At 38.0% G+C, this 27,075-nt stretch overlaps 1 long non-coding RNA gene across 1 annotated transcript, besides 1 other annotated feature; it reads right to left on the bottom strand.

Annotated features, from left to right (window-relative positions):
• Window positions 1-1,102: 1,102 nt before the first annotated feature.
• Window positions 1,103-26,921, bottom strand: LINC02160 (long intergenic non-protein coding RNA 2160). Its single transcript, NR_147008.1, has 4 exons — window positions 26,798-26,921; window positions 11,600-11,804; window positions 8,005-8,114; window positions 1,103-1,180 (listed from the first exon to the last, which is right to left on the bottom strand). It is a non-coding gene; the product is annotated as a long intergenic non-protein coding RNA 2160 (long non-coding RNA).
• Window positions 20,639-20,688: a silencer, noted in NCBI's record as "silent region_15961". NCBI's record gives its function as "represses an Ori minimal core promoter by ATAC-STARR-seq in GM12878 lymphoblastoid cells {active_cell/tissue: GM12878}" and the evidence as "EXISTENCE:reporter gene assay evidence [ECO:0000049][PMID:35858748]".
• Window positions 26,922-27,075: the final 154 nt, after the last annotated feature.

Below are 27,075 nucleotides of genomic sequence, written 5' to 3'. Positions count from 1 at the left end.
ATGGATATTACCTTCACACTTCAATATTTCTGAATTCATGATGCATCTTGTGATTAGTGTCAAAAGAAATTTGTCAATTTTACACAACGAAGTGGAGTGTGATACATTAATAGTTCTTAACGTCTATATGAGTGGACTTAGTCATCAGAGAAGATAACTATTCACCCAGTTACTTGCCTCAGTTAAACACCTTGTAGTTGTGACAGAACCTTAAATTTGGATACCTAATTATTATTTTAAGGTGTCCCCAAAAGGATTACATTATAATCCAAAGACATAGCTTTAACATAAATGGTTACAGTGGAGCAGATTGCCTATCATATGCCAAGTAATTCAAATAAAGATGATGGAAATTTTTAGATATTTTAGAATTAGCTGTATAACCTTAAAAATTAGAAAAAGTTGTATGACCAGTTGATGAATTATGAAAACCAAACTCTAAATCTAATCCTAAAGAAGCAATCAGACAAACCCAAATTGAGGGGCATCCTACAAAATAACTGATCTATGTTCTTCGAAAATGTCAGTGTCTGGGAAAGCAAAGCAAAGCAAAGCAAAGTTGAGGAACTTTTTAGAGTTAAGAGAGACTAAACCAGTATGACAACTAAATAAAATATATGGTCTGGATTGGATCTTGAATTAGAAAAAATAAAATTGCCATGAAGGACAAATTAGGACAATTGGTAAAATATGGTATTGACAATTTGATTATCATATTGCATCAATGTTAAATTTTCTGAATTTTCTTATTATACTTATTATATTATATAAAATTCTTAAATACTATAATTAATCTAATTATACTGACTTATTTAAGAGTTTTCCCAGGTTAAGTTCCTCAGCAAGTTTGTAAGGACTCAACACTTGTGAGGGAGTGAGGAAGTAGGATTAGGGAGAAAGGGGAGCTGTGATACTCTCACAACAAAGAACTCAGCTCATGGCACAGAGAGCTCTGGGGCTGGGATGGCTTTACGGAGTTGTCCTGAATTTAGGGCAAGTGGAGCAGACCTTTATACCACTGCATCAGCCAGTCACTGGGTGTACACTGCCCCAGGGAAGAGTACATGACATTCATCAAAGTGTGTCTCTTTAGCCAAGGATAATTTCCAGAAGGGGATTCAGCTGCAAGCTGTTCATTGCCAAAACTCTTCAGCTGATGGGGAAAATTAGTAGTTCAGTCCTAAAGAGGGAAGAGGAATATAGGTGTCAGACCACAGCATCCAATCTGGTTATCATATCTGTAATTTACTTTAAAATGATTCAGTAAGTAAAATGATGTGAGAACAAAGATAATACCAAAAATGCGGAAAAGCAAGAAAGATCTCAAATTAGCAAAATACGAAAAAACCGGTGAATCTGGGTGAAGTACTGTTTTCAGCTTTTCTGTAGGTTTAAATTTAAAAAGAAAAAGTTTTAAAAATGAAATTCCCAGGTGATACCAGTACACTAGCAGATTGGAGGACTGTGGAATGAAGTCATCTTTAGAATTCATCCCAGCTCTAGCATGAGGGAATTCTGTGACATGATCAGATTGGTTATGGTGCATTTGCTTTGGGCTTTTGAAGCCATGGAACCACAGCATATTTCCTACATGTTTGTTTTGTCCATAAGTTCTCAAACTTTAGTAAATCATATTGTTTAATTAAATGGGTTTGAGGGATTGTAATACCAACCCTGAATTTATAAATAAAGCTGTTCTTTTCTCTATTTTGATGAACAGTGGGCAAGTTTCTGTATTAAAGATCAATTATTATCCATTTGAAGAAAAACAAGGAAGCTGAGAATATTCAAGATAAATTTATTGAGATTATTAGATCTCACAGTTAATGAAATTGTGTTGTAATAGATACATACTGTCAATAGTTTATTGAAAAACTGCAAGCAAAGCAAATGTCTTTGCCTTTATTAAAAGTCAGGGGAAGATATAGCAGGCTCAAATATTTAATATTTATCTTTTTAATTGTGAAATCATCTTTGGGATATTTATTTATTATGAAATACATTTTAAAATATTGCTTAATTCTAAAATACGATTTAAAATAAACTATTTTTCTGTGGTTTTTACTGAGTCCTCATCTCACTAGGCTGGAATATTGATCCCAACCACATCTTGTTTTAGATGTGAGGATGGTCATGTCTTCCCACTCTGTTTTCAGTGTTACATCAAAAAGTCCCAATTCAAGGGCACTGAAGACAGTTATTTTCTTATTAAAGGTTTGCCAACTCCTTTCTTACAGGGATCTTGCTGAATGCTTTCAACAATCATTTTTAAGCATAGACTCTAGAGTCAGTCTCCCTGGATCTGAATTCCAGTTCTAACACGTAGCTATGTGCTCTTTGGAAAATTACTTAACCGCTCTGTGTCTTAGTTTCCTCATCTATAAAATACAGTACTTATAGAGTTAATAGTTAATATTACCTATGTTATAGAGTTATTTTGAAGATTAAATGAGTTACAATATGTAGAACACCAGGCATGTAATAAGTACTTAATAAGGATTAGGTATTATTATTGTCATCATTATTAGATATTTATACTGCATACTAGAATCATATGTTTTAACTTAGATCATTATTATTATGTTGATTTTATAAAAATAAAGATGCAGGTTAATTAAATGTTAATCTGAAATCGCCAAGGTCATCTAGCTAGTGAAGGAGGGGAGCTGGAATTCAAACTTCAAGCCCAATTTTCTTTACACTGTTGTGGACTCATGGGTGAGAGAATTCCAGTGTATTTTTTTGTCAGCCTCCTGGGACCAGCAGCAGATTATCATTTGGAATGGACTTAAATAGGCCCTGCCACCTCCAATGTGTTTTTACATGTAATCCTGCGTGCCACAGATGTAAGCATCTGGGGACTTTATTTCCTATCAGATTATAAATTATTGAGAGCACAGTCTAAGTCTTGTTGGTATTTGTGTCCCATGCACTGCTTAGTGCAATGCTTTGAAGATAATAGTTGTTCAGAAATTGTCAATAGCATTCCAGAACAAAATTACTATTGATTTTTAACATAGTTAGGCTGGGTGCAGTGGCTCATGCCTGTAATCCCAGCACTTTGGGAGGCCGAGGCGGGTGGATCACAAGGTTAGGAGATCGAGACCATCCTGGCCAACATGGTGAAATCCCGGCTCTACTAAAAATACAAAAAATTAGCTGGGCATGGTGGCATGTGCCTGTAGTCCCAGCTACTCAGGAGGCTGAGGCAGGAGAATCCCTTGAACGCGGGAGGCGGAGGTTGCAGTGAGCTGAGATTGTGCCACTGCACTCCAGCCTGGGCGACAGCGCGAGACTCCATCTCAAAACAAACAAACACACAAACAAACATAGCTGATGCTCGTGTCTTAGTTTTACATGTTGCTGTTCCGACATTTAGTAGGGATGCAATAGCCAAGACTCAAGCTTGCCACAAGGAATTAAACAATTTGAACTTTGCTTTGTCCACCAATAAAATTCATCCCATTATGGTTTTGTGTAAAACAAGCCTTATTCTCTGCCTATAGATTATTTCAAAATGTTAATTAGTGTGGGCAGACCTGATAATAATTTCCTGATTTGTAACTAGATCTTTTAATTTATCTAACCTTAAAGCTTTGTGTTATTCTTTTCTCCTTATGAACTTATTGCCATTTCAATCAAGCTTGTGCAATCGTCAACCCACGGGCCACATGCGGCTCAGGACAGCTTTGAATGCAGCCCAACATAAATTCGTAAACTTTCTTAAAACATTATGATTTTTTTTTTGCGTTTTTTTTTCTTTTAGTTCGTCAGCTATTGTTAGTGTATTTTGTGTGTATCCCAAAGACAATTCTTTTTCTTCCAGTGTGGCCCAGGGAAGCCAATATGGATATCCCTGATTTAGATGATAGTCCGCTTCTGACACTTCATTGAGCTTCATTTACCTAATCTGCCACAAGCAAAAGTTAGATTAGATGGCTTCTAAAATATGACTTTGTAAATTTTTGCTCTTTATAAGAAGATATTTGTATGTAAACCAGTTTATTTCCATACTAACCGAGATTGTCTCCTTTCAGAGTAACAAATCAGATTGCTATCCATTTGGCCTGGTCATTTGAGTCTTGCTGATTGGTCTATGAGAAACATGGCCAAAATTTTGAATCTGCTCTTTAGGGGGACATTTAGGTGAACTGGTATGAACTGATATTTTAGAATTGTGTCCAGTTGAATGTGTGTGTGTGTGTGGGGTGGGGGGGGGTTGCCACATTATCAGTTTTTCATCTAATTTTAATATTATTTGAAGGGTCCTAGTCAACTTTGTTCATGTATTTCTTCTTAAACACAATATAAACAGACCCATTATTAGGATTCAAACTTTGAACTGTATCCTTTCCTCCTTCCTTCCCAACTCCTTTCTCTGCCCCTACTCCTCCCTCCTTTCTTTCTCTCTCCTTCTTCCTTTTCTTCCTCTCCCTTCTCTGCCTTTCCTCTCCCCTCCACATACTTTCTCCTTCTTCCCTTTCTTCCTCCCTCCCTTGCTTACTCACTCCTTTCTTTCTTTCTGAGAAAGTTTAATGAGAATCCACTGTGAGGCACTTTTCTGAGGACTTAACAATTCAAGCCTTAAATAAGGTCTAGTCTTGTCCTCAGGTAGCTCTTAGACTCATAGGGCACACTGAAAAGAATAGATACTAATTATAAAATAAGTTGGTAAGTACAGCAATATGAAAAACAGTGCATTCTCATAGGGTTAGATATAGTTTAGGGTTAGGAAGCATTCCAAATGAGGTGATAGTTGGGTTGAGACTAGTCAGACAAGGATGGTCATGGTAACAATATATACAATATATCTACTATATATATACACAATATATATACACAATATATATAGAATATATACTGTATATATATAATGCATATATATACATATGTGTGTGTGTATATATATATATGTATGTATATATATATATATTTCCCTGCATCCCTTTTACTGAACTTTTGGAGTTTCATGACTGCCCTTTAGAACCTGGAAAAGAACACAAGCTACAGTAAAGAAAAATATGCCTGTCCAAACAAATTTGAAAGGTCAACTCTCAGTCTATCAAATTGAGATTCTTGTCCTACACTTGATTCTCTTAGTGTAACACCCACATGGTTTGAAGGGAAACATGCCCTTTAGAAAACAGGACAGACGGTTATGGGCCGGGTGTGTCAAACTTTTTGTAGTACCCTGGGTTTTATCAAAATAACGCCATCCAGTTTTGCCAAGGGCTTTGCTCCTCACTTAAAAAGACCTTATATTTCAATCCGTGTGTTTCATATTCATTTAGACATCTCATCAAGCTAGAGTTGGGTAAGAGTTGTTTAGTATCCAAAACATCTTTCCTACTAGCCTTTGATTCTTAGAAATAAAGAATTATGCCGGGTGTGGTGGCTCACGCCTATAATCCCAGCACTTTGATAGGCCAAGGAAGGCGGATCACTTGAGGTCAGGAGTTCAAAAACAGCCTGGGTAACATGGTGAAACCCCATCTCTACTAAAAATACAAAAATTTGCTAGGTGTGATGGGGCTTACCTGTAGTCCCAGCTACTCAGGAGGCTGAGAATTGCTTGAACCCAGGAGACAGAAGATGCTGTGTGCTGAAATTATGCCACTGCACTCCAGCCTGGGTGGAGAGTCTGAGACAGAGTGAGACTCTCAAAAAAAAAAAAAAAAAAAAAAAAAAAGAAAGAATGAATGAAAGAATTACACTTTGCCAAATGTAAATGAATTTCGGACCCTTACTTTTCAAAGGGGCTTTGCAAATCGCCTTGTGCTGTAGGCAAATCTGGAAAAATCTTTGTGTCCCTATCCTGATTCTAGAGATACTCAGGCATGGGAACCTTTCTCAAAGTGATCTCTCTACATTAGAATCCCAACAGGGGTTCCTAAAAATGCCTCTTGATGGGCCCCAGTACAGATTTACTAAATTTGAATCCCTTCTTGTTTTATATAATGTGATTCTTTAGAAGGAACTGCACATTGACTTAGTGAATATGTACTGTATATTTATATAGTGAATAGGTACTATATATATATATATATATATACACACACACACACACATATATATACACATATTTACCTATATATATTTATATGTAGTACCTATTCACTAAGTGTTAGCTATTATTATCCAGATGCCTTTAGACATCTCAATTTGATATCTAACAGGCATTTGGAACTCACCTTGTCTAAAATTGAACTCATGATTGTCCCTCCAAATGTAGTCAAAAGTATACCTTGTCTCAGGGGGCAGGGTGCCACCATTGCCAAATCCAGAAACCCCAGCAATTACTTGCCTCTCACTTCTGATGGCTCAGTATGTCCTAGTTAGATTTTACGTCTAACTAACATCTTTCTAGTTAATTCCCTGGTTTTCATGCCTTCTGCCACTGGCTGGTTAGATCCACAACATCACCTCCACCATCATCCAGATTACTGCAATCACCTCTTTCCTTTGCTTTCAGTCTTCCAACTTCTCCAGAGGACTAATCCATCCTCCACACTTAAATATATATCTGATGATGCCACCTCCCTTCTTGACTGCCTCGGCTCAAGCTGTGATTCCTTATTAATGTCTAGGATGAAGTTTAACTTTTACTTTAATGCCCACAGCTCTTATGATTGGTCTCTTTCTTACCTCTGCAGCTTATCTCTCACTACCCCACGTGAATCCTTTGCTCCAGCCCTACAAATAAAGTTCTCCAAATGTGTTCTGCTCTTCCATGCTTTTACATACTCAGTTATCCTCTTTCATTCCTATTCCCTTCCATACATCACCCTCTCCTAACTTCTTTTAGCTCTTACGTTTTCTTCAAAATCAGCTTTGATATCACCTCTTCTTTAAAGTCTTCCCCTATCAGTCTGATTTAATTGGCACTATGCTTAGCAGAGTGTAGTAAGCACTTAGCATAATATAATAAATGATACAATTTATCTTTTATTTCTTTTTTGGGAGAGGTCAGGTGGAGTTTACCACACTCTTGTTAGTTATAAAGCTTATATTGAGACCTGTTCTTTCCGCATTTACTCTAGAACTTTCTAAATTTATGAAACTACTTGATCTTTGGAATGCTGATTACATTTAGAGGGAGGTATCTGAGGGGTCCATAAGGCTTGCTGAAGTGCTGCTGATAATGTTCTATATCTTCATCTGGGTGGCACTTCCATGAATATATACATATGCAAAATGCATTATTCTGTATTCTTAAATATGTGCACTTGATTATAAGTCATACTTTATTTTTTAAAAGTGAATAAAAGTAGCTGACCTTTTACCTTTAACTATAAAATTCTATTTTCTGTTTTGTCTATTGAGTGATATCATGGGCACCTTGGTTCCAGAGCACAACGTTAAATGCCATTATGGCAAGGCACATTTAGCTTCCTGGGGAAAAGGGCTTTTAAAATTTTAACTTCTCACTAGGTAATGAAATAATAAAATGGGATTAATTGGAGAAGTAGTTTAATACTTGCTTTACTAATGTTTCTACTCCCCAAATATTTATTTAATTTTGCTAGGTGTTAATCTTGTTACTATTGTGATACTCTTTTTAGCTTTTCAAGGTTACTAAAAGTAAAGATTATTATGAATTATCTCATTAAAAATTATTAAAAATATAGATAAAAATAAACCATTGCTTCTGAATTTTCAACTTCAGGTCTTAAATCTTTGACTTAATCATTGTCTACATGATCTGTAAACTCTTAATCCTGAGAGTCTTTGATTTCACTTGGAGTGTTTTCTTTGAAGAGACTTTATTGGTTAAGAGTTGCATTCATTTCCTGACTACTTTGAAAAGTAAATTCCCTTTAAAAGTAGACTTATAGCTATAGATTATGTTGCTTGCTATTGTATCTCCAGCACTTAAAATAGCCTCTGACACATGGTTGATGCTGAAGTATAGTAACAATAATATCGAAGCACACCCTAAATATGAGGCTCTTTATTCAGTAATTATGATTTATATATACAAAGCAACCCACTGCTATATCTTACCTAGATTTACTTCTAATTTAAAATTCATGGATCACAGCACAGCCATATTTCTGGGAGATGAAAGCATCAATTTCGTTGTTATTGTGGCTTTAGAACAAGTCTTGGTTTGACTGGAAAATCAGAAGTAAATCTGGACTCAATCCAAGTTTTATCAAATAACCTTGAGACTTTCAGATTTTAGTTAATCTCCTTGTACTGTAGGCAAGTAGAAACAATACAATTGAAATGCTATTTTTCCTTTTTATAATAGTATTAAAAATAAGAATGAAGTAAAGTCTTATAGTCTTTGACAAGATTAAAACATTATACGAATTTAAGATGATGTTATTAAATATTTTTGGCTGGTACTGATAATAATTTGCAATAACTAGATAATGTATATTTTCAGGTCCTAGTCATACTTGTTAGGATTATAGAGACAAATGTATTAATAGCTATTTCTCAGAGCAACTGTTTCTGGAAGGAATATAGAAAATAATTTACTCATACTGTAGAAAATGTATTTTTTCATAAAATATAAGAAAGTATTTGTTGGGCATATATTCAGTATGTTCTGACTAAAATCAGTTTACCACTCTTCTTTTTCAAAAAACACAAAAGATGGCTGGGTGCAGTGGCTCACGCCTCTAATCCCACCACTTTGGGAGGCAGAGGTGGGTGGATCACTTGAGGTTGGAAGTTTGAGACCAGCCTGGCCAACATGGTGAAACACCGTCTCTGCTAAAAATACAAAAATTAGCTAGGCGTGGTAGTACATGCCTGTAATCCCAGCTATTCAGGAGGCTGAGGCAGGAGAATCGCTTGAATCTGGGATGCAAAGGTTGCAGTGAGCCAAGATCGCACCATTGCATTCCAGCCTGGGCATCAAGAGCGAAACTCCATCTCAAAAAAAAAAAAAAAAAAAAAAAAAAAAAAGGAAACGCAAAAGAAGTAGCTGTTTTCTTACCATTTACTTCGTGTGCCGTTATTGTTTTTCTAGATCTGTACTGGGTTTTGCGGAAAATATGGAAAGATTAGTAAACATGCTACTTAAATTGAAAGGGTTTACAACCTTGTAGGAAAAAATAAGCCATATCTTTGGCATTGTTATTGAACAGTTTTCATGTTATTAACTAGTTTTCAAATCCACTAAATAAATTCTTACAAAGGCTAAAAATCCAGCCTATCAAAATCCCTTTGAGTTAGTTTCCCAGGTAGGTTATTAACAAATATAAGTGATGCTCCCTTCATTTTCTGAGTTTTTGTTGGTCAGTAATTTCTGTTGACTGGTACTTCTTTGTTTTACATTTAAAATAGTTATTTCAAGTATTTGCTATTAGGATGCTGTAAAATGTCAGTAGAAATGCTTTCTATATCATCAGAATTAAATCAATGATTAAATTTGGTTGAATTTAAAGTTTAAATAGTTTAAACTTTTTATCTCCATGTTTGTGGTCCCCTGGAGGAAAGACATTACATGTTTTACCTTCTTGTGTACCGCCAGCATTATGTTTGTGCAAAAAATGATACAGTTTTTTTTCCCCTCAAAAGCTAAAGGCATGGGTCATAACTATAATCACAGCAGGCTGGGAGGCTGAGGTGAGAGGATTGCTTGAGGTCAGGAGTTCGAGACCAACCTGGGCATCATAGCAAGACCCATCTCTACCAAAAAATAAAAGATAAAAAAATTAGCTGAGCACGGTGGCATGTGCTCATAGTGCCAGCTACTTGAGAGGCTGAGGTGGGAGGGTGGTTCATGCCTAGGAGATCCAGGCTGCAGTGGGCCATGATCACACCACTGTGTCGTAGGACTTTCTCCTTAGTTTAGCTAAAAGCTAGGTTCTTGTCACATGGACATGAAATATTAGGCTCGCAGACACTTTGAAGAGTGAGAAAACTGGAATTTATTGGGCGAAAGGGATAAAAGGGAAACACAGACTCTCAGTAAAGTGAGAGTCCTGCTAGCTGGTTTCCCACCTCATAGATTGAATGGCAGGTTACTTCCCTGGATCAGAAAGGCCAGGCTCCTCCCAGATGCAAAGGGCATGAACTTCCCGAGGCCCCACCCCAGTGCGCACTCCTCCCAGTGGCAGGCTGGTTGGAGGTTCTGCCAGGGGTCCCTTTTTACTTGGCTGTCTCAACTGCACTCCAGCATGGGAAACAGAGAGAGGCCCGGTCTTGAAAAAAATAAAAAATAAATGGCCAGGCGCAGTGGCTCACGCCCGTAATCCCAGTACTTCGGGAGGCCAAGGCAAGTGGATCACCTGAGGTCAGGAGTTCGAGATCAGCCTGGCCAACATGGCGAAACCACGTCTCTACTAAAATACAAAAAATTAGCCAGGCTTGGTGGTGGGCACCTGTAATCCCAGCTACTCGGGAGGCTGAGGCAGGAGAATCGCTTGAACCTGGGAGGTGGAGGTTGCAGTGAGCCGAGATGGTGCCACTGCACTCCAGCCTGGGCAAACAAGAGGGAAACTCTGCCTCAATAAATAAATCAATAAATAAGAAAAAATTTAAAATTAAATAAAGAAAGCTAAAGGCTGTTAGAAAAAGATAAATTTAACAATAATTACATAAGATGCAGTGATGCTGTTTTAATTATACAAAGAAAAAACAAATTTAAATCTTCAGATTGCAATGTCCAAATGAAGTAAAGAATTTCAAATTTTTGGCAGGGAACAGTGGCTTATGCCTATGATCTCAGCACTTTAGAAGGCTGAGGGTGCGAGGATTGCTTCAGCCCAGGAGTTTGAGACCAACCTGGGCAACATATAGTGAGATCCTGTCCCAGTTAAAAAAAAAAAAGAAAAAATTTCAAATTTTTACCTAACAAAATGAAATCTGAGTTGAAATCTACTGAAATAGTATTAGATTTTCCTTTCACCTTCTATAGCTGAAATTTCATGTTGAAAGATGTTAAAAGAATAAATAAGTATATAAAAATACGGATTTGCTTCTTTCTAGTGTTTAAAAATTATTTCTCATTTTACTATTGGTCAAGAACTTCTATTAACTTCAATGTTTGCCATTTTGCTCACGGGGTCTAGCATATAATAGGCACTCAGTAACTAAGTTTTTATTAGTTCAGCTGAAAAATAAAATAACATGAATAAAAACAAAAAAACAAACCAGTATCACCACAACAAAAACACCTGGCACAAAGCTCAATTTAGACAAAATACAATAAAGGTGAGTTCTTGCCTTCCTCTCTCTCACTCCTGCCTCTGAATGTTTCCTATACTTCATAATTTTGCTGCAAGAATTCCCAACTGAGTTCCTTTATTTAAAACCTTAGGTTCGTTGGTTCTTTGAAAGTACAAGTGATTATAATTGAATGTCCACAAATAGTCTTTCACATTAGGGCCAATAGGAGATAAATAGAGTTGGTCAAAATGTGTCATGTCCTAAGCTTGGTCACTTTTCCCATTATGCCTTGAGATCTGCTAAAACCTTTGTTTTAATGAAATTTGACTGGAGTGTTGCAAAAGGAAATGAAGCATGGTATGTTGATGGAGAGTTTGCTTCAGTATTATGTTCTTTCTCAAAATACACTATTTTGTTCAGGGCTAGCCTAATCCTAGTATGAACTTAGCCATAATTATATGACTCCATTTACCTTGTGCAATTAACTGGATAATTGCATGAATGTGAACATTGCTTTGGCCAGCCTTTCCTCCATATATTCCACAGGGGACATCCTCTTCAGCTGCCATGTAGTCTTCTGGGATCTAATTATGATGTCTCTTGGAATCTGGCCCGCATACAAGAATTCAAGCTGGTTTTCCAGGGTGGAGACCATGAAGAAATCCCAATCGGATTCACTGGAATTCATTTGTAAACATCATGCTATTCAACTGTATTGTAATGGAGTAATTCATTATGATTTTAATTTACACACTAAAATTGAATGCTAAAATATGTGTTGACTGTCCAACTTCTAGTTCAGCATGTCTGACTTGACATATTTACTGACTGTTGACTGATATGTCTGTAAGGTTGATAGGCCCTATTGTGTTGTTAATGAGACAAGGTAATTGCTCTTGTTATGGGGTTATAGCAAATGGTTCCAGAATGGAAGAAGGGCCAACATTCTTAATTTAGAGATTAAAATACGTTATTTCTTCTCAAGGTGAAAGAAACTTGTAGCAATGGTCGGAACTTCTAAAACACTAGACAGAAAAATGCAGATGAGTAAACCTTTACTCTATATTTTGACTGAGTGGAAGTAAATTTCACTTTTCATATTTCCTCAACTTGTCTTATTAAGGCTTAGAAAGAGACCACTGATGTTGATAGCCACAGCATTCTTCCAGGAGAATTATGTTTACATGGATTCAAGTTTTTTAATTCATCGAGGACAAAGTACTATCACTTGTGAAGTCATTCACTATCCAAACTCATCTTCTTCTTTAAAAAAAAATACTCACCAGGGAGAGTGGGATATGGAGGAATGTTATATAAAATGAACAAATATGGCTAGATGGATTCCATTACATAATTGGGAATAAGTGATAATGAGTCAATCTAGTTATTTAGTTGTAGTTGTATACTTGATCTTACAGCTCAGAGTGGTGGCAGCTGCTTGCTTTTGCTAATCCCTGGATTACCTTACCTTATTTTTACTTCTATACCTTGACCCTGTTTTGTTTCTTAGCCTTTGTATCACCTATGTAACTAAATTCCTTCTATTAAATTTTCGCATTCCTGTTTGCTTGGTTGAACTCTGAATGATGAGAATGAGTTTTATCTTACTAATGGAAAGAAAGAGTAGAAAACAGTTGAAGAAGAGAAATAAAGAGGTATTATAATTTATGGATTGACAATGTGTATGTTTAGGACTGGCCTGTGAGCTGCTACTTTTTTCATTCTGCTGTTTCCCTAAGTCACTGCTCACTTGCAGTAGTTTGAATGACCGGAGGTAGACATCTGAATTTGTCAAGTCCTCAGTGGTGGCTCTTACTAGAGACTTTGATTCCTGCTTGGTCATTTGACCCTCAGTCAGTTTGGTTTTCCTCCAAGAGGATACAGAATTTGTCCACTGAAAGGCTCCTGTACTTTTTGGTTAATGCAGTATGTGGAGAAGAAAGAAGGAATTCTTAACAGTTCAATGTAGGAAATTAAATATTCAATCCCAATGAGTTCTCTTGTTCCCCATAGAGCGGCATTTATGAAATTCGGACTTATTTAGCATGTGTTTTTGCTTCTTCAACCAAATCATCATATTAATAATTTTTCTGCATACACTTTGGCTGAAATTTTCTCTATAAATAAAGCTCCTTCTAAAATGACTTCCTTAATGTGATGTTAGATGTGATTAGTTCGCTGAAAAGCCGCAGAAAATATTTACACGATCAACATTGTAAAAGTAATACCTCAGATGCTGTCACATCATATGAGTACTCCATAAAAAGCAATGCAAATGCTCTTTCCATCTATGCCTTAAAGGAGACCAAAAGAAACCATGATGATCTCAGCTTCTTTATTATAAAAGTTGATCCTTTGGTAAATTTTATTAAAGAATAATTTGCTGAATTGGAAAAGAAAATAAAAAAATAGGTATGTCATCCAATAATTTGTCCTCTTTATGCTAAAAAGAAAACCCTCAGCATAATTGGATGCCTTTTTAAAAATCCAGATTTTCTGTAGTTTTAAAGCATACAGTCATTTGAAAGACAATCCAGTGTCAAATATTTTGTAGAGGTTGAGGAATTGAAAGCCAAGGTAGAGACCAAGGTGGACCTTGTATCTATCCCAGGGAGCTAGCCCATTTCTCTGAGACTATTGTGAATTGTTAGTTGCCTCCAATTTAAAGTATTCACGTTTCATATAAAAAATCCCAGGTTAAATGGAACTCATATGACCTAGGACAGACATTAGGAACCCCTTTACATGAATTAGAAATAGGACGTGCAAAGCCAAGCAGGGGAGACCAAGTGGATACACAAGCTTTCTTTGGCTCACAGAAGGACTTGGACAGCCAGATGCATTAACGCTCTGTGGGCATACATACATGAAAAGCCTTATGTAAGTGTCAGGTGCCAAGCTGCTGATGGTGTATTAGAATCATCAGATAGGTGGTAACACAAATCCAGGCTCCTCGTAAAATAAGTTTACATGTTTTTTTTGGTAGGAACCAACACTAGGTTGGACAGTTAATGAGCTCCAGAGCTGTTTATTGGTTACTCATAGGGAACCTGACGAAGTATTTCAGTCAAACTGAGATGCTGTTTGACTGGTGGGGAAAACCTACCCAACCTTAGTGCTGTTTCCTCTCACATTATGGTGGATATTTCCCTTAGCCAGAGGTCTGCTTTCTTGTTTGTTTGTTTGTTTATTTGTTTAGGGGGTCCATTGCATGGAAATTGATGGGGTTTGTTTGTGTCCTTATTTTTTTTTTAAATCACATTTTGTTGGCAGAGGAGAAGAGGGGATGCATTGGGTCAGCTGGATGGCATTAGGTCAAAGGCAGTTGGGGAAAAAATGGTCTTGGCTAAGGGGTCCCGGGCAGCTAAGGGGTCCCAGGCAGCGTGCAGAAGGCTGTGCTAAGAGAATGAAAGATAAGCAAATTTAGCAAGTGCAGGGAGAGGAAGGAGCACTTCCTCCTGGCAATTCTCAGAACTGTTTCTCAGCTATTTACTTCCTATTTTGATACCTAGAGCAACAAGAAACAAGGCCTCTGGAGCAGCCTGACTGGCCTTGTCGTGAGCTTGTTTATCCACTGCATCTGTCAGGAAGCAATTATGATAAGGCCGCTGGCACTGGTCTGGAAGATTTTTTTTTTCTGTTTTCTGTGTGGCTTTTGATTGATCATGTTGTACACACAGAGCTCTATTCTTGGATTGATCTATTAACAAGGTTCAAAAGAACCTCCACCATTTAGAAGGTTTTTTCCTTTTGCTTCAGAGGAAAAGCATTATTTGCACCTTTACATAAGGGCATTCTCCAGGCTTTCAGTTCAATAACTAATGAGGATGGAGTGACTTGTGTCTAGGGATCAATGCCCCCACATCTAGATGTATTATATATGTGTACACTTGACATTTAATTCATTGCACTGGAGTGGATTTGTTTTATCTGCTGGGAAAGTAAAAGATGAAAGGCTTCTTGAAGAAAATGCTGGTTTGGACAAGTCACTTTAAGACTCCAGGGCTTATTCAAAGGGTTTCTATTATTTTATTACATGTTAGGGAGATCCCTCTTATTTTCTTCACCCTGAAACCACTTTCTCTCCCACAGTTTTCCCTTTGCAATCACTCCAAGCTATACCATGTTGATTTTGTGTCATTGGTTTCATGTTGGATTGGGTCTGCATTTGGAATCTGCCTGCTTTGGACCAGAAATTAGATTTGCTTGGCCCCACTTCACATATTGTCAGCACTCTGTACATTTAGGGCTCTATAAAAGTATGAAATAATAACCACTACTTTATGAGCTGAAAACAGCTTTTCTCACCACATTTACTTCTCAGTGGACAACAGTAATTTCCACATTTAAGAGACAATCAATATTAAGCATCTTTCATTATCTCCATGCTACTTCCACTGAAATGGACATAATGAGAAATTGGAAGCATCTTATTTCTCTCTGTTTGCGGATGATACAGACTAAATGAATGCTTTTCAAAATCATAGTAAAAAGGATACACATTCTTCCCTGCAGTGAGGATGCTTAGATGAAAAATTTGTGTTGTCCGGCAGCTGCTATCACTTGTCATGTTTATTTTTACTTCTATACCTTGACCAATAGCAAGGGAACAAGAATAGACCACCGATAAGATTAGTTTCTTTTTAGAAAAAAGCGTGACCTTCTTATAACTCAGAGCAGCTTTGGTTTCTGGAAAATACCATCTCAAATTCTGCAGAGTCATCAGATAAGGCAGTTGGTTAAACAAACAAACAAATTGGGCGTGAGCAATAATTATACAAGGGCGGTGTAGTAACAGCCAATGAGATCCTTTTATGAAGTCATTATTCAGTATGGCCAAACGCCATGTTGGGTCAGCAAATGTTAGTCCAAATGTTGCTGTTTTGTTCTTAAATTACTGCCGTGTAATAAAGTGGGACACAATATTGAGTTTTTCAGAAGACTAATTTTTAAAAAATGTGATTACTTTCTATTAATGGGATTTAAAGGCTTTTCTTTTATGAAATGATTGTAAGGGTAGTAACTAATGCATCAGTGAACAACAAAAAGTGTTTGATATGATGCCAACTGAGTAAAATTTTACGAATATTTAATAGAGCACATTATAGAGATCTCATTTACTAGGACCCCAAGGAGGAGAAAGTTACCCATGATTGGTCATGAGCTGACAAGTAGGATTTCTGGAGGCAATACCTCAGTTATATGACCTGCTTCTTACCCCTGGTGCCCGTGATTATAATAGAGCATAAACTGCAAAACACAGGGCAGCTGCTCCTAGTCCAGAGGCAGCACAAGCCTCTGCCATGTGTTCAGACTTTATTCCTAAAGAGTAGCTTTCCTGGATCCATGAACAGCTCATCGGTTCTAAAAGCAAGGTCTGCGGCCCGAACTCTCTTAGCATGGGCTTTTTGGATTATGATACAGTATTTTGATCTGTGGTGTTACTTATCATATTATGGTATATAGATAATATACTTCGTGGTGAGGCTGAGAAAGGAGCATTAATAGCACACCCAGGAGACCTGGGTTCTCTTTTCCGTACTGTTTTTAATATGCTAGTGTCACTTTCTTGGGCTTCAGTTTCTTTGTTTGTAAAATGAATGACAAAGTTGGTCGAGGTCAGTGTTTCTGGTCAGGATCTGTTTGCCACGTGCTTCATGCTCAAAAATCCTTGTTGAAACACAGATTCCCGGGTCTATCTTGCACCTATTGAATTAGAATTTTGTGGGTTGGCCGTGCAATCTGCATTTATACTACATTGTTCCTCATAGGTGATTCTTACACAAGCAAAAGTTTGAAAAGTACATGATTGCACTGAATGTCTCTAGGATTCCTTCCTACTCTTTAGTCTCCTACTCCTCAGGGTGGTGCTTCATCAAAAGGAAGAACTCACTTTTCCTCCCCCATGGGAATGGATCACGGCTGTTCAAGGGTGTTTTGCCCAACTGAATTCTTTTGTAGATAAAAAATTGTGGAACTTAGTTATCTCCAGTACTTTAGGTTAGGAAGATTGCCTGCATCACAGAGATAAATTAAAACAATGCCCTTGTGGGGGGAAAACTTCACAAGGTTTTGAAAACACAGATGTCCTTGTACTACATTCCCCTACAGTCACCTTCAAAATAATCCCTTGAAAGTCCCAGTTTCCTCTTTGTGGGCAACAGTTCAGTCTGTGCCGAGACTCATGCAGCCAGGTGATTCAGCTCTTTAAAAGGCTTTGGTTCAGTTCTGCTGAGGATTCAGTTCTTCCCTGACTCCTTCAGACTAAACATTTGAGTTACAAGCCACATTAAAACCATTTGGTAGAGATTGTAACTAGGGAAAGTCAGTTCACAATCTGACACCTTATAAAGCCTTATTTTAGAGTTTGTGGGGTTTGGTGTATAAAATTTATTCTTTTGGTCTTAAGCAAGCACCTGGCTGTAGGTTTTTCTCTTGCTGGCTGACAAAACAAAACAAGGTTCAATTGATTTCTCTCCTTTAAACAGTTTATGATCTTTGCCTAGTTTTATTTGGACTTAGTTGAGCTAGCTGGGATCACTGCAAACACAAAGCACCTGGAGGAGCCTGGATACAGCCAGATAAATTTGAGCCTGGGTTTCCTTTCTCCAGCATTTACAGAGGTTGCTCTCAAACAGGGACAATTTACCTCCCAGGGACATTTGGCAATGTATGAAGACGTTTTTCCTTATCACAGCTGGGGCAGTTCTACTGGCCTCTAGTTGGCAGAGGCCAAGGATGCTGCTAAACAGCTATAATGCCAGGTTAACCCTCATTACCTACAAAGCATTATCTGGCTCAAAATGTCAACAATCCTGAGGTCAAAAAACCCTAATATTCTAGGGTAGCTAGAAAAATAATCCATGTATTTTGGGGGTGAGATATATCCATAAAGCCAGAAAATGGTATGGGATGGAATAATAGAAGGAGGGTAGCTTTGACATAGACTTTTTGACATAATAGTGCTGAGTGTGGTGGCTCATGCTTGAAATCCCAGCACTCTGGAAGGCCAAGGCAGAAGGATTGCCCCAAACTGTGAGAGCAGCCTGGGCGGCATAGTAAGACCATGTCTCCTCTATTTAATTTAAAAAAGAAAAACTTCATTTGAAAATGAAGTCTAACTAATTTCTAGGACAGGTTCAAGCTCAATAAGTTCCTTACAACAGATTTTGACAAGGATCCAGGAGAGAACTGTAGGCTGCATTAAATATAATAAAGCAGGCCCACTCATTTTAGGCCAGGTAAGGAACAAGATGAGTTTCATTTATCAACAGAGACATATTAGACATCTTAGCAGTTTGTTTTTCTGATGTGATTTTAACAAAGAATACATTTTCTTTTAAAAGTTGTGTTTATAGATTCTAGAATATTTTTTATATATCTCCCTATCCTTTCAACTTTTCTAAGGCTATTAAAAGCATCAAATAGTTAACCACTAGCTAAAAAGAGAGCCTGGCTGAAAGCACTTGTTTTTACTGATGTCCCTAAGACCACCTTTGCAAAATTATGACAGTCTGATTTCCAAGCTGTCCTTGGTCATTCCTAGGCATAGAGCAAGCTAACTTTGGGAGGAATTATGATAATAGTCCCTCCCTAAAACTGACCCAGGGACGAAATACTCACTTTATAAGACCAATGAAAGGTCACAGGTATAGGATTATGGGAGGGGCCTGAATTCTGCAATGATGTAGGCATAGTTTCTATAATTTCTTACTGCTCAAGGGTCATGTGGCCAGAGGTCACAAGATTTGTGACTTCTCAATTGCTCCTATAGATAACATCACTATTGTGGAACCTAACATTGGTTTTTCTTTAGGTGTTTCTCACTGACCTCACCCAGACTCATGACCCATGACTCAGCTGGTCCTGTGGCCCTACCAGAGGTAGACTCAGCCTGTGAGGATGGTTTTCCACACCCCTGTGATTTCATCCCCAACCAATCAGCAGCACTCTTCTCTAGCCCCCTGCCCACCAAATTGTCCATAAAACCCCTAACCTCTGAGCCTTCAGGAGGAAGTGATATTTGAGTGATAACTTTAGTTCTCCCATGTGAGAACTGGCCTTGCGTCAATAAAACTCTTTCTTTCTCTACTGCAGTGCCATGGTCTCAGTGGATTGATTCTGTTTGTGTGGTGGCTGGGAAGCATCTGTCAGGTGCTTACATCCTTCTACTCTCAACCTGCACTGGTTATTTTCTCTGCTCCACCCATTGTTTTCTCTTCCTTGTACACCAATAAGCTCCCTTGCTCCTGGTTTCTGTGTAGATTTGGCTAATGAGAGACACCAGTAAGAAACTAAGGGCAAGATGAAAAAGAAGTCCAGGAGGTTTACCCCAGTCCTCCTGGCTTTACAGCATTCTGGCAACAGATGACCCTCTAAGACCCCAGCTTTTATATGGGGCAGCCATTTTTCCTCCATTTTGCCAGGAATAAACCCTGGTTTCTCCCCTTGCTCCTCCAGACCTAAGAATAGTAATGGCTTTTCACTTCTCCTAGTTTCTAGATGCATCACAGTTTCCCTTTTCTCCCATAACTCAGCACTGCTCTGTAAACAGCCCCTTCAGTTCTTTTCAGTTAAGCCCTCTTTAGTGTAGGCCTCTCAGTGATGCACTGTCAAATTTTCAGTGGAAGGTTTTTGATTTTTTTTTAAATGAACTGGCCAATTAATATTGAACCGGAAGCTGTTCTTCTATTCAAGCTCTTTCCTTATAAAAACCTGATGAGTCTTATTTCCTCATCTGTTAAATAAAGATTTAAAAATATGCCCTGTGTTACACAGAAATGTAAACATTACTGCATTGAAGATTGGAAGCCACTTGACATAGTGAAAAGGAGACTAGAGACATATATTCTAATTCCAGCCCCAATTATTTAGAACTTTAACTTTATGTTATATATATAACATATATATATATATAACATTTATGTTATGTTTTATATATATAACTTTATGTGTATACTTTAGTTCTCTTGGACTCTTTTCCCCATGATAAATATGCTGATTAGGTTAAGTAATCTCCCTGTCCTTCTAGTTCAAACAATTTTACAGTCCTTATATATTCTGTTCTTACTGTTCTAGACTATTCAGTAGCATGACCTATAAAAACAAACAAAAAGAATGTGGAACATAAAACTGAAGAAAAGTGTTGATAGAAGTTCTCCAGAGAAAGGAAAGTTAAAAGATCTAACTTCTATGTGGTTACAAAGGGCATAATCAAGACCATTGGCTAGATGCTGTAGGAGGTAGCTGTAAGTACAATGAATGGGAACGCCTTTCTAGTATATAGACTGGTTCAGTAATGAAGTGGAATATGTTGACTTTCAGGGAAGTGACTTTTCCATCACTGTAATGTTCAAGAAGAGATACATATTTACTATTTTCTCAGCGGGTACTGTAAAGAAGATGCCTGTGATGATATGCGGTTGAAGTAATGGCTAGGTAAGTCACAAATGTGCAGTAGTCTTCCCTTATCTGTGGTTTCACTTTCTGAGGATGTGACTATATGTAGAAACAGGGCATGTAAAGAGGTTATTAAGGTAAAACGAGGTCATATGGGTGGGCCTCATGCCTCTGTGACTGATGTTCTTATAAGAAGAGGAAGAGGCACAAGGGGTGTGCATGCACAGAGGAAAGACCCTGTGAACACACAGGAGAAGAAAGCCCCCTGCAATCCAAAGGAGAAAGGCCTCCGAAGCCAACTCTGCTGACACCTTGATCTCAGACTTCTAATCTCCAAACTGTAAAAAACACAAATTCAGCTGTTGAAGCCATCAATCTATGGTAGTTTGTTCTGCTAGTCCTAACAAACTAATAATATGATAAAGGATACTTAGTAGTAGCACATGATTTCAAAATTTTCCACCATATAGACATAAGGTTTACTATACTTCCACACCGTGTTCCCCTCACATGTATTTACACCACTGGTACTCGGTGTGAACCCCTAGAAACTCTATACCCAGTGGTTTCAAACCTTCCAGGAGCTGCCATTGCATGTCTTTCCAGTGTATCAGTGACTCACCGAGGAGGAGAGCAGCCAGGTGAGGAGGGATTACTGGTGATTATTATTATCAAGGTTCTGTGTAGATACTTCCTGCTGGGATGTGCACAAAAGAGAGATCTGGTACATCACTGTAAGCAAGCTCCGCCTTCAGAATGCAAAATATGCTCTTGAATCTAATTAGATATGGGATCAAAGTAAAGAATTTTCTTCCCCAGATTGACTGGAAGTTTTGTATATTTTTTAGTGGACCAGGTCACCTGAGAGTACCAGTCAGCCTACAGGCTCAAACTGATTTATACTTTGGAGGGAAGGAGAAGTGGCTTTGGAAACTCCAGCCTTTTCTAAATACCATCTAGTATTTAGATGGGTCTAGTTGGCTGACCCTTCTAAGGCAGCACTGTACATCTGCAATGATTTATACAAACAGAGTCTGCAGCTTGGCTGTCGTGGTGTGACTCCTTCCCCCCAGCCCTGTCCATATTTTGAGGACCAAATGGAAGAGCCCACCTATAGCAGCACCCCATGAGGAAGAAGTTTGTTACCTATGGATTCAAGCTGAAAAAGATGAAGTACTATTTCTTCTGAAATAGCTGCTTAAGAAGCAGAAGAAACAGCTATAGGGAGAAGCATTCTCCAGGAAGGTCATCATCATAGGCCAAATGCTATCAGGAATGTAGCATGAAGAAGAAAAGCTTGAATAGATCAGGAGAGGTCTAGGTTTAATTCTGAGTTCTAGCACAGGAACACGTGGTTGGCAGGTCATTTAGACCTTCTGTATCCTCCTAAGAAATCCAGTCTGTGAAAAATAATAATGGGAAATTTTACATAGCAATTCAGGCACTAAATGCTTTATATTTATTGTAACTCGGTTAATCCTCCCAAGGGTTTTTGAAGCTTGTTGTCTTACGCAGAGTTCCAAAATGACCCTTAAGATTCCTGCCCCCTTGTGTATATGCCCTGTATGATCCCCCTCCCTCATACCCACCTGAGCATGCATGGGACTTACAAATATGAAGCCTATCACTTTATGATTGTTGTTTTATAAGATGAAATAAGTTTGTAGATGTAATTAAGATCCCTAATCAGTTGGCTCTGAATTATTCAAAAGAGAGATTATTCTATTTGAACCTGACCTAATCAGGTGAGCCTTTAAAAGGGACTGGGCCCATCTTGAAAGAAGAAATTCAGCCAGGCGTGTCAGCTCACGCCTGTAATCCCAGCACTTTGGGAGGCCGAGGTGGGTGGATCACGAGGTCAGGAGATCAAGACCATCCTGGCCTACGTGGTGAAACCCCATCTCTACAAAAAATTAGTCGGGCGTGGTGGCGGGCGCCCGTAGTCCCAGCTACTCGGGAGGCTGAGGCAAGGGAATCACTTGAACCTCGGAGGTGGAGGTTGCAGTGAGCCGAGATCGCGCCACTGCACTCCAGCCTGGTGATGGAGCAAGACTCCATCTCAAAAAAAAAAAAAAAAAAAAAAAGAGAAAGAAGAAATTCATAGTTTAAGAGGGACTCTCCTGCTGGCCTTGATGTGGCAAACTTCTGTGTTGTGGAGAGCGACACATGTCAGGTACAGCAGGCAGCTTCTAGGAGTTGAAAATGAACCCTCCATTGGCAGTCAACAAGAAATCAGAAACCTCGGTCATACAATCACAAGGAAATGACCCAAAAGAGCTTAGCAGTGAATCTTTCCTTAGTCAAGTCTCTAGATGAGCATGCACCCAGCCAATTCCTTGATTTCAGCCTGTGAAACCCTGGGCATATACATATATATGCACTAAAATGTGACTGGCTTTGACCTGCAGAAACTATGGGAATACATTTGTGTTGTTTTAAAGTCACTAAGTTTGTATCCACAGAGACTGCTAAGTTTGTGGCAGTTGTCATGCAGCAATAGAAAACTAATTCACTGGTGCTATCATTACCTCTATTTTACAATAGGGAAACTTAAACTAAGTTGTCTAAGGTCACAAAATAAGCAAGTAGTAGAACTTGGATTTGAACCTAGTTTCTGGCTCCAAAGTGTGTATGTTTAACTATTGCACTGCACCAAGCTCTTGCCACCTGCCTTCTGTTTTCCTCTCTTTTATAAGTTGCCATGGCTAGTGTAGACATAGGACTCCTCCGTCTGATATATTGGTCTGAAAAACCATTTTGAAGTCAGTAACTCTAGGCTCTTGGCCTCTAGCCAGTCTCCCACTCTGTAACAACTCCCATTTTTCATAGATGGGAAATTCTAGGCTTCACTCCCAGAAGGTTTTTTTTTTTTTTTTCACCTCCCTTAAAAAAAAAAAATCTACGGTTTTAAATTATAGCCCTGTGGTTAAGGGAAAATGACATTTACTGGGGAAGCAACTTGTTACGGTCTTAGGTACTCTGCCAACTGCAATGAAAAAGGGGCTTTTAAATGTCATTTATACATTAAGAAAGATTTAAAGAGACACTAAAGAATATACCTAGCTGGCATTGCCAGAATCTGTAGGCCTTATATCCACAAGTATCCTGGGCTAAAATTTAATTTGTTCTTTTATGTGTGAGTAGAGTATGTTCAGCCCCAAGTCTGAACCAAAATGTTTAAAAATCACACTTCATTTAAAGGGATTCATGGAGACATGCCAGATCTACAAAGATATAAAGTGTAGATCTGAAGAGGAGGCAGAAATCTCCATTGCCTGGAGAGTCTCTTTTTAGGGTGGAAAAATTATCTTAAAATGAGGCAATATTCTGTTAAGAGGACCTAACCTGGATGAGTTGTCTTAAACTTTCTGAAAACCAAAACAGAATCTCCTCTAATTTAAATAAAAGATGACCGAGGCCCAGGTAATAGTATGGTCCAGGTATCAAAAGATAAAGAAGTGAGTAATCAGATTTATTCAGCAATGCTATTGAGTTAAATTGAATTTCCACTGTGGCTGATTTAATCTGATCCCTGTAGAATGAAGGTTGAAGGAAGATAAAATCTTGAGGATAATACTGGCAGTGATACCACTGTGATGCATTTTAGCTTCTGCCAGTTAATTTCATCTATGGCCATGAATATATTAGCATTATATATCTCTGTTGTTTCATTTAGTTATTCACATTTTTGCCTGTAAAATGCTCCTGAGAACCCTTCTCCCACTAACCTTCAAACATCTTAGACCCTGTGTTTCAGCTCTGCTCATTTATAGCCCTTACACTTGCCTTGGAAGGGCCGACAAAATACTGATACATTTCACTTTTCTGAGGTTGATGGAGCACACTAGCACATTAAATTAAAAAGTGGTCACTATATATAAAAGTGACATAAGAGTCTCAGTATCACTGGGCTGTGCATATCAAACTGTTTTTACTATAAGTGTTGAATTTGGGCCAAGTCGTTTAATGCATTTTAATCTTGTGACCGAGAGTATGCATTTACAAGATTTTCACCAGGAATAAGTGTGCTCTAGAGTAGATCTGCTTACCATGTGTTGCTACCACAGGAATGTGATTTTTCGAAATAGAGTAAAAAATGGTACAATGGTGAGGAACTATTTGGTCAAAAATTTGCAAAGAAATTTTTAAATAATGCTAAGAATTGGATATCTTTAAAAATCTAATTCTGATGTATTTGTGTAGCACAAGGCCTGCATCTTAGTAATAATAATCCCCCGTGTCCATAGCAAGGTCTCTTGAAGGTGATATCTAACTCAGGATTTCTGTAATGAATTTAGGAGACAATACGTGAGACTATCTATACCTAACACAATGCCTGGCACCTGTGAGTTATTTAACTGGTAGAAAATAGAAATCTAAAAAACAAGTTAACAGGTTGTATTGAGTGCCTGATAGAATGAATGAATGCAGGTAGGAAACATTTAAGATACTTATTAATGAGTAGGCATGGAATTTTCTGTACTATGACTATATAATTTCTTAAAATTGAAAAACATTGTTTTAAGAGAGTTCTTGCCATCAACATTTAGTATCTCATGACTGTCAAATTCTTTTAGATAGGAGCTTACACAGAGGGAATGTTGCATAATTGAAGAACACTGTGGGATGATAAATTGGGCTGTACCAAATTAGGTCATCCTTAGTCAAAATGTATAATGACGGTCTTTTCACAAACATCTTCACTGGGTTAAAATACCTGACCCAGGAGTTCCATCTGAATGATGGCTAGGTTGAGAACAGTATTTTCTCATGCACACCATGAGCAGAAGAAAAGCCAGGGTGAAAAGCCCTTTCCCCCTGAGGCTTTAGCCACCTTCAGGCTTTAGCCAATTACCCTGCCTGATACTCTGGTTTACTTAAAAACACATTAGTTGGAAAACAAAACAAAAAAATCAATTTAGTTGTAAGGATGTTGACCATTTCCCTCTACTATTTCAGGCTTCGCGACTCTGCCCTAATTGGCAAACAGGTCACAGAAGGTTGATCATATTATTGTATCTGCATCACTATAAAATTGAACAGTTTTGCTTATTTAATTATTTTCATTAGATACCCTTGATATTCTTTTTTCTTTAAATTTCTTCTAAAGGAAAGATTGTATTTGTCACTCTTTTGGAGCCTGCCAAATAGTGTAATTAATTGATAAAGGGTATTTCAGGTATTGGGCTCACTATCTAGAATTCGCTACAGTCGTCATTGTTCTGGGGAAAAAGAAAACAAACACTTGGAAGTGGCAGTGGATAAGCCGGGGCCGTGGTTTATTCAGTGGAAGGAAGTGTAGTTAGTTTCAGCGTAGAGGAAATCTGTCTAAAGGAAACTGGATTGATTTCTTTAAGGAATAAAAGCCAGAGTGCTTTGTGGGGAAGGTGAAACACTCGGTGACCGTTTGCTTAGCTTTCAGTACAGTCACAAATACTAGTCTGCTGAGTAAAAGCACCTAGGACCGGTCACAAAAGGACTCCACCGCCACAATGAGAGGCTGTCTAGGGCCTGCCCTGGGCAAATAAGTGAGAAAGTTTGTCCTCCACGGGTGTCCACGGCCTCCGCCACCACAATCTGCAACCTCTTCTTCAACTCTAGAGTTTCTTTTCTCTATTTTCTTTTCAAAGGCTTACGGTGTTTTCATTACTTTTTTGTTGTTGTTGAAAGTATTTCTTGTGTTTTCTTTCTGTAGTATAACATTCTCTAATTAAAGCAGGAAAGTAGTTTGATAAACTGTATTCATACTAAGGTAATACAGTCTCAGGATTTTTTTTTTTACACTTTGTAGTGATCTTTCTACTAATACTTGGAAAGGACTGTGCTGAACTTAAGGAATTTTTAGACACCTGAGAACCAGAATGGAAGAGATAAGCAGGCACTTGAGCAAAAGATGAACAGAGTGAATACAATTGTACAGTGGATGCCAACAGGACTGAAAGTGTTGAGTTTCAAATCTGTTTCTGCACTCGGTGAAAAAAAGGTTATTTTGCTTGATTAATACGTGAAGTAGGCTTAATGACTACCACATTCTCTATCATTTCATTTTAAGTCCTTCCCAGAAAAAAATGTATACTACCTGTAAGACTGCTTGTCGTATGAAAGTATAACTTTTTTTTTTTCTGATAGTTTGTCATATACAACACCTAACCCATCTGCCATCATCTTTTTCAATTTTTGTTTTTGTAGAGCTTAACATTATGCTGAAACTCAATCATATATTTTCCCTCTGGGGGTTGCATCAGTTTTGAAGAAATGAAAATGTACTTACGTTCTAAAGAGGACAGGCTACATAGTGTGACTTCTGTCTGGGTAGAAAGGATTCCTCCATCTCCATCAGGCATCGGGACATGCAGAGGCTTCAGCCTAACCTGCAGAAATACATATCTCAATAAGACTGAAGTCTCCTTCCTAGTTTTTTCAAACAATGATAGTTTACTCTGTATCTCAGTAGTGCCTATAGGGAAAAGAGCATGGGATTTGTAGACAGGAAAGTAGATATGTCTGCTTGGCATGCTGCTCCCCTCTATGTCCACCACATCCGTCAGA

Source organism: Homo sapiens, chromosome 5 (assembly GCF_000001405.40).
Source record: "Homo sapiens chromosome 5, GRCh38.p14 Primary Assembly".
Lineage (NCBI taxonomy): Eukaryota > Metazoa > Chordata > Mammalia > Primates > Hominidae > Homo > Homo sapiens.
This window is presented reverse-complemented; position numbering and strand designations above follow the sequence as displayed.